The sequence below is a fragment of the Homo sapiens genome, chromosome 13 (assembly GCF_000001405.40).
Source record: "Homo sapiens chromosome 13, GRCh38.p14 Primary Assembly".
Lineage (NCBI taxonomy): Eukaryota > Metazoa > Chordata > Mammalia > Primates > Hominidae > Homo > Homo sapiens.
In genome coordinates, this window is record NC_000013.11 from 83,815,223 (window position 1) to 83,824,253 (window position 9,031).

Below are 9,031 nucleotides of genomic sequence, written 5' to 3' on the forward strand. Positions count from 1 at the left end.
TGTGCGCCTGTAATCCCAGCTACTCAGGAGGCTGAGACAGGAGAATTGCTTGAACCCGGGAGGCGGAGGTTGCAGTGAGCCAAGATCGCGCCACCGCACTCCAGCCTGGGCAACAAGAGCAAAACTCCGCCTCAACCAAAAAAAAAAAGAAAAGAAAAGAAAAGAAAAAGAAAACAAAAACAAAAACAAAAAAAAACCTTTGTCTTCCCCTTCCTCCTTAAATATGCTTATAGTTTATTACGGCACTGTATTTCCCATTGCAGTACTGACTCCCAGAGAAGCTCATTACCTTTGAATACTCTCTCTGTTGTCATTTTAAGTTGACATAAATTGGTGTCAAGAAATGTGACCTAAAGTGAGCTCACCTTGAAAGGATGGGTGACTCCTGCAATTACATGCATTACCCACTAGAACCTTTCTGAGCTCTTGGTTTCCATGTCTCATCTTTTCTTACCTGGTGAGTAGTCTTCTCTCAGGCTGAACTCCCTCCTTATGGTGAGTTCTTTTGACTTTATTCGGGATCTGGTTGGGATAAAAGCTGCCTTAACAAAGGACACTGCATCCCTCTTGGACCACAAAAGACTTTTTGTCTTTTCTGGCAAGCCCTTTCTGGTATAAGGACACTGATCTTCTGGATAATACTCTGGTTTTTGCAGAGTTTTTGTTCTGTCTATGATGACCTCCTGTGTTCTCTGATAAATTCACATTTGCTTTTTTTTCTATGCACCTGGTTTAATATTTTGTTTGCTCTACATGCCTGGTTTAAAATTTTTGTGAGTACTCTTTTTTGGGGTATCATTTTGGTTTGCTTATGTGCATCTAGAAATAATTTGGCTCTTACATTTTTTTCCTTGCTTGTTTCTGAACATCTTTCTAGAGCAAAATTATTTTTTAAATGGTGAATATGGGATGGCCACTAGAGTGATCACCACCATCTATGAGGAACTTCTGTTTTTGAGGGTAAACTATTCTGTGTTGGAAAACATTGGGTATGGACAGGCAAAGTTACTACTAGGGCACTTGCCAGTCTCCAGAAAAATGCAGTGCAAATAGGAAAAACCTGGTCACAGGTCAAACAACTAGAGCAAAGGTTACTTACGATTAAAAAAAAAAAAAAAGTCCTGTGTCAGGTACACTTGTCAAAGCAAAACGCTTTGCCCAAACCCTGAAAATCTAGATATAAATTATAGGATGTTTTTGTTCTTGAAAGATTAATGAGAAACAGAATGGAATCTTCAAATTCTAAGGCATGCTAAGTTGTCTAAGGACAAGCTTCTTTCAGAAACCTCAGCTTAATATACATACAAAATGTATAGCTTTTCTTCACACACATTTTTAAACCAATGGACAGGTTACACTAAAGATAATTTATGGCCATTATGGGCACCATTTGAGCTCCCCAAGCTTATTTCCCTTAGCATTAATGAAAAACAAACAAAAACAAAAAAATGCAACTATAGGGTTAAACAGTCTGAATGGTGCAGCAATATCTCTATTTCTCATTTTTTAAATTTCCTCTGAATCTGCTGACTTTTTTGCTTGTATTAAGACAAATCTGTGACTAAATTCATGGCAACTTAGAGGTTTATTTTCCAGGCAGTTTTAACTGAAATATAACATTTAAGACTCATTTGAGACCGAACAGCCAAAAAGAGTAAAGAGGGTTATTTTAAACTGCTATGAAAACCGCTTTACTTCAAATTAGGTCCACGGCCTTTATAAGATTACCTAACAGGACAAATAAAAATCTTGAGGTTTAGCCACATGAACAGGTGACGTTAACTTGTGCCATTTTGTTGGAAATATAATTTGGATCAAACTGTCTTTTATAAATTAGAGTGAGTTTATATTACTGTATTTTACTGTCTCATCACAAAAATTCTAAAATGAAAGGTATAAGATCTTTGTGTATATACATGTTTATGTGTTTTTATACATGTATTTTCTGTCTGCAATGGTAAAATCTCTTAAAGAATTCTATTCAAATTGGCTCAGTGATAAATGAGGACTTAGGCTAATTATACTTAAAACTTTAAAAATATACAGTAAGCCAGATGTCTTTTAGTTCACATGACTCAAGTAAATCTTTGGTAAATAAACTGTTTTTACATTTGTTGGTAAAAATAAAGATGAAGGTGTCTTCAGAGTTGTGAGCACACATGTTTTGTCTGGGTTTGCTGATCAGACAAGGTTATATATGTCTCTCCTAGAGAATTTAAGGTCATAAATCTGTACATTCAGCCTAAGAGCAAAATTATCTTTGTGTAACTTCTGATAAATTAGACTAATATAATATTGTTGGTTTCATGTAAACAGCTGTATCTTCTGAGTTATTGCAAAAATGCTCATATATTTTACTTTATCCTTACTTGGATCATTAACATCTGATATTCACAAGCTATAAAAATGGTTAAGAGAACAATAATTTAAAATGATGACTAGCTTTGCCTAGTATCTCAGTTTTCATAAATAATTTATGAATAATTGTTAAAAAATAACTTAATAGGTGTAAATGGAATAGATATTTATAAATGAACTTCTTATTCAATTTTTTATGTAATTTGATATCTTAAATTTATGTTATTCTAAATTAAATAATACATATTTATAGAGTGCCTAGGTCATTTCCAAGTAAGTTAAAATACTAAAATGCTGATTGCTGAACATAGATTCAAGTTTATTTACTTTTGGATTCTTAAATTTTATTAAAAAAATGGAAAACACTTTGGTCTGTTGGTAAATATCTTCTATTCCCCATTGAAAATTTATTCTGTGAGAAGCACATATTTTTAGAAATTATAAAATATGTTTTCATAAAATGTTGAAATGTGACAGGTTACAATTTGCTTACTTATGTTTTTGCTGGAAATTAAATATACTGACAGTTACAATTTGTAATTAATATATATAATTATATATACAAAGTGTACCAGAAAAGTAAAATGTGCTATTGGCTAAAAAATATGTGTGTATGTATGTGGTATGTGTGTATGTATATATATACATACACACATACATATACAAATATATACACACACATATACAAATATGTATATATGACATGAGAATATATATGACATATAAATGTGTATATATGACATGAAAATATATATACATGTGACAAATATTTATGACATTAAAATATGTTTTCTATTTAAAAGGAATGGTTTTGTCTACAGTTAGAGGTTATTTAAAGGTTATCTTAGAATATGAATTTAAGAATAAATTAAAAACAAGGCTAAAAGGAGCCAATAAGTAGGAGACAGATGCAAAGAAAGTTGTAAGTATGAAAATGTATTTCTGTTCAGGAAAGCTAAAAGAAAAAAGGGGGTGACTTTTGTCTGAGAAAGAATTTTGAGTAGTCTCTATAATAAGGAAAAAGATAAAATACATTTTTGTCCAAGGTAGAGTGGTTGGTTTTTCTAATTTTTAAAAAGCACAGGGCAAAACTGATGTCTTAAGCAAGTCATAGAATGTTTGAACAAGGTGTAGAAGATTCGAGCAAGTTATAAAAGGTCTGAGAAAGTTGTAAAAGGTTTATAAAATATGAATCTTATAAGAGGAATTTTATGTGTGATCAAGTTGGCTGTAATTATTTGAAAGTTTTTCTAAGAATTATTAATATCAAAGTACAATAATGCAAAACCAGAATCTAGTCCCCTACATTTAAACAAGATTTTCTTGGAAAATTGATCTGCTCTTAATTTTAAAAAATTTTGCAAGAGGTTTTAAATTTTTAATTCTGAAATTTGTTTAAAATTTCACCCATCTCCTGAACTTCTGAACTACAGCTTTTTAATATTTTACATTTTCCATTTAATTCCATTTTGGTTTTCATTTAATTACCCTGATCAGGTTACGATTGCTATCTTCACTCAAAATAATAATTGTATTTCTCAAAATAAAATTTTCCTTTTAAAGCTTTTGATATTTATATCTCACAACTTCAACTTTTGCTGTATCTCATTGCACTTGATTTGCAGGTCATGTGTCATTGCCTTCTGCTCTTCATCCTTCTCTCCTTGAAAAGATACCTTTTTGTGGGGCGGCTTGGCTGGAATAATGACTCTTTTGCTTAGCTTTTTTATTAGTTTCGGTAGCTTTTTCTTTCCCCAGTTCTGACTGTGCTATTGTGACGTGATGCTAAAAGTATTTGTGTCGATGGTCTAAGACAGTACTGTCTTCCTCCAGTAACTTGATTCTGTACTACTGGCTTTTTTTTGGTATGTTTGAATTGTTCTTCATGACCAGGAAATTTCACATGCCTTTACTATTTCCAAGATTCATATACTCTCCTGCTCATGGTACTAGTTTTCTTAGTTATTTCTTCTACAATATGGTGTACATTTAAAACTTAGGGCATACATACTTCCAGTGTTTGATTGAATTAAAGTACATTTTCATCAGGTTTGACTTCCAGGATATCTAAATGGGCTTCCCATAAACAGAAGCAATCACACTACAGGACATTTTTCTTTATCATTTAAAAATTGGCCTACAAAAACAAAGATTTGTTTCATCAAGATTATTTTCTGTGCTTCTTGTCTTTAGTAAGTCTGTTTGATTGCTTAGCCAAAAATGAGTCATCTCTGTTAGAGGTCTGAGATTCTTTTTAAATATATGTAACTTTCTGTATTGGTTTTTGAAGTCTTTAAATTATCGTTCTGGTTAAACGGCTGGTTATTATTTCACAGTGACCTGTGATGCTATTTTAATCAAGTGTCTTAAAATTTTGACATCTTTGGCAAGCTTCCTAAGAATCAAAGTTCTAAATTAAGTCTTTCTAACTGCAAACTAACTTTTGGAATCTAATTGGGCCCCTAGAACTCTGAAGGTGTGTTTCTCACCTAAATATTAACTAACATGGCCCATTTACCATGTTAGATTGCGTGGGAAGCATTGCCAAATGATAGAGTGATGCTAAATTTTCTTTAAGTTCTATTTATATAAATATGCTATTGATGTAAATGTCCTAAGGATTATGTAAAATGTATAGAAGTCTGATGGTCCTGGAGTGATGCTATCAGTCATGATGCTCATTGTTACCTTAAAATAATGTATGAAATAAAAATAATTGGAGTTCATTGTCAATTGCATCATTATAATAAACTCTTACCAGATTTTTAAGCATGGCTATTCTATCTCTTTTTCATCCACAGTTATTGTTTTAAGTCTTCTCTAAAGACATCAATAGTCAGATTCATGAAAAAATATTTCTAATCATTACTCTTAAATACAGGTTTATAATAACTTTAAGATCAGTGGATTAACTAAGAACTTCCAGATCACTATTTTAAAAATTGATAAATTTGTGACACTGCTGAGAGAATAAATAAACTGATTTTTTAAATTATGAGTTTTACAGGCTATTTATTTAAAACATTACTGGTTCTTTACTTAAATGGGTTTTTTTCCCCCCCCTGGATTTAAGGTATCTATAGTTAACAGGAATTTGGTAAGTATCCTTTTCTGAACAAAATAAAAAATATTTACTTTTTCTCCCTATTTGATCTTTCCAAAATTCTGAAACTATTTCTAAGTATTCTTATTTTTATGTGAATAGGGTTACTTACATAAGTTCAATGGGAATCTGTTTCTTCTTGTAATAGAGTCTAATTGAAAATCTTGATTATGTTACCAAGGTATTGACTGGGATGTTATATTTAAATTGTTTCAGGTACTGCAGACAAAATCTGAAGTCTGCTTGGTTTGGCTTTCCGCCTTGAGAGGCTTTCTGGAGTCCAATTTGAGATTACTTATGTAGTCAATCATTATTCTTGCTGCACTTAGGTAATTAATCATGTCAAACTGGATAAAATTAAACTTTTACAAACAAATTTGTCTTACCAATTATCTTTGGCAAAAATCAGGTAGAGAAACATATTATTTTCTAAAGAAAACTATAATATACCTGTTATAAGATTGTAGCCCTGTGCATTGATTTTTGCATTTTTATTTTCTACTTGTAGACCAGACTAAATCTTGAGTTCTAGTTTCCTTCCATATGCTTGTTTTCTATGTAATTACCAAGAAAAAATTGCTTTTTTCTAAAGCACCTTAAGCTGAAGCTGGACAATTTAATATAAATTTCAAGGAATAAGCTTCATACAGATGCCATAACCAGAGACGTTCAAACTGAAAACCACAATGAGAAATTGATGGCTTCATGTTGTGGAAAACTGTCCCTAAAACAATGGAACAAGATTTCCATTTTAATGAGGTTCTTGCCCTATTAAATTTTCCTTGTTTATACCTACCATTTTTACTTGGCAGAATAATGGTGTAGTTAAAATTTCACAATCAGTAGGTTCTGTAGGCTAAACACTGGTTAAATAAGGAAATTTATGTACTATTGCTAATGCTACATGATATATCTGGATAAATTTGTCTGAAGACATTGAGACCCCAAAACATAAGATAAGAAAACAAGACACATACTTACAGCAGGTCTCATCTAGCTCACCATGGTCATTTAATGTATTCAGTTGGTGGCCTTTAAGCCAAAATTCATGGCTCAAAACTATTATACATGGCTTGTGCCTATAATCCCAGCACTTTGGGAGGCCAAGGTGGGCAGATCATGAGGTCAGGAGATCAAGACCCTCCTTGCTAACATGGTGAAACCCCATCTCTACTAAAAATACAAACATTAGCCAGGCTGATGGTGGGCACCTGTAGTCCCAGCTACTTGGGAGGCTGAGGCAGGAGAATCACTTGAGCATGGGAGATGGAGGTTGCAGTGAGCCGAGATCATGCCATTGCATTCCAGCCCAGGCGACAGAGCGAGACTCCGTCTCAACAACAACAACAACAACAACAACAACAACAACAACAACTATTATACAAGCTCCATTATTATATTACTATTAATTTTACTTTGTATTTTCCTTTCTAAATATTGTAACTATTTCTGCAGAACTACAACTTATAACAGAATAATGGTGTGCTAGGACTTTGAGATGATAGTCAATGCCTATGGAAGAGACAAAATTGAACTTAACAATGGATTCCGACTAGTCTCAGCCTAAGACTTAATCCCTTTAAATCCCCTTTATTGCTGAAATCTGGCCAAAAAGCTCTTAACACTGACTCCTAGTTGCCAATCACTTTCCTCCAATGTGGTACCAGACCAACAACCAGGACAGGTCCATCCCTGCACCAAAAGACAATCGAAACCTAAACATAAGATGTTTGATCAGCAGTGCTTCCAGTGAAAGGTCTTGCTCAAAAGTGGGAAATGTGAAATATGTCAAAATTAAAACAAAGTCATTTGTGTCAAACTCTGACAAAATGGAGCCAGGGAAGGCCATAAAGGGAGGGTATCATACATGATTGCCTGGTAACAAGAACTATCACAAAAGACTGGCAAAACTACAACCTTGCACAAAGGCCACCACAACTTTACACAAAAAATACTTCTGTGATGACATCCACCCAGCAACCGCCTCTTCAACCTTGTATGGACACAACCCTTGTTATTGATTCTTGTAGCGAAAGATAATTGTTTCAAAATAATTTATGTAACTTAAATATTTTATGCAAAATACAAAATTACACAAAATAATTTATGTAATTTTAAAATCTTCATTTTCCTCTGTCTCCCTGAATATGCCTGTAGTTGACTGTGGCACTATATTCCACATTGCAGGGTTCACTCTCAAATTAACTCATTATCTCTGATGATCATTTTTCTGTTATTATTTTACACTGACAAGAAATACCATCCAAATAATAAGTCAGAAATGCATATGCCATTATAGCTTTGAGGTATATGACTCATTCCCAAAAATATGGCCTTAACTTTCCTACTAAGTGTACCTCAGACTTGTCACAGAAACAGAATAATGATAAAATCACTTTATTCAGAATGTATGAGTGTTTTATTTTTGTTACATAGTATATCAAAAACACTCAGTTAAGCAGTGACTAGGAAGTCATAAGAAAAGAGAGAGTCCCAGTCACCTCCAGTGATTTTTAAACTGTATTGCGTTTGGGATTCTAAGAGTCCCACTACTGTGACCCCATGACTCTCACGAGAGTCACAGCTTGGGGAGACCCTATTACTGATATTAGTTGGAGGTATTCCCAGTTATTTAAAAAAGAAAAGAAAAGTTAAAAACTCCTAATCTCAAGAATAATGACTGTGTACTAGAGTAAAAACAGAAGATTCTCCTAAGGCATCTATCATGCTCATATATTTGATGGCAGCAGTGGCCCATCTGGAGTGGCCACTGCGAAGACACTGGCTGCAGCAGGGGAGTGCAGCTGGGGCTGCAAGTGAGCTGGCGGGAGCCAGGGAGGTGGGAGCCCCACCCCCTTCCAAGTTGCCTGGGCAGGAGCTCTGCCTTTCCCAGCACAGCTGCAGCTGCCCAGCCATTGTGGACCTGGGCATCCCTCCACTCTCGGGGGCCTGGAAAGCCTCCCCCACCCCTACCCCCACAAACTCAGAAGTGCTTGCTCTTGCTGCCTGGCCTCTCCCTGCTCTCAGGGCCCTCTCTAATTTTGGAACAAAGTTGTGGCCAAGCCCAGGCACTGTCACGACCTGGCCGGGTGTGGGCACACTCATGGTGGTGCTGACACAGCAGCCCCCTGCTGACTCGGCCCACTCCAGACTTTGGACACTGACAAGCACAGGAGGAGGGCTGAGGGAGTGCTGAGGGCCACTTGGTGTGGGCCTGCAAGCACCCCTAGGCACAAACAGCCTAGATGCTGCGGATGAAATGTAGATGGCAGCAGGAGGCAGACAGCCTCCTGGGTGGAAAGGGGTGTGTCCCCAGTGAAGCCCCACCTTCAAGCCAGGGACAACCTGAAGCCTAGTGGCCGAACTGTCAGTTCCAGGTGGAGTCTGTGCCCGGAGTGAGAACTTATGGTGCTTTTTCCTGGCCTGTGCATGGTCACCCATGAACCCATCAGCACATACATTCTGAGCTCATAAAAACCCTGGACTCAGCCAGACTCAGGCAGATGTCAGGATGACATGGCTGCAGATAGGAGCTACCCACTGTGGATCTCATCCCTGCTGAGAGTTGTA

General features: G+C 35.5%; 1 long non-coding RNA gene across 5 annotated transcripts in view; it reads right to left on the reverse strand.

Annotated features, from left to right (window-relative positions):
* Positions 1–2,503, reverse strand: part of LOC105370286 (uncharacterized) — a 97,595-nt gene extending 95,092 nt beyond the window's left edge. For all 5 annotated transcript variants that reach the window (XR_942129.2, XR_001749945.1, XR_001749947.1 and 2 more), the window contains exon 1: positions 455–2,503. This is a non-coding gene — a long non-coding RNA (uncharacterized LOC105370286). The remainder of the gene's footprint in view (positions 1–454) is intronic.
* Between the last annotated feature and the right edge of the window lie 6,528 nt (positions 2,504–9,031).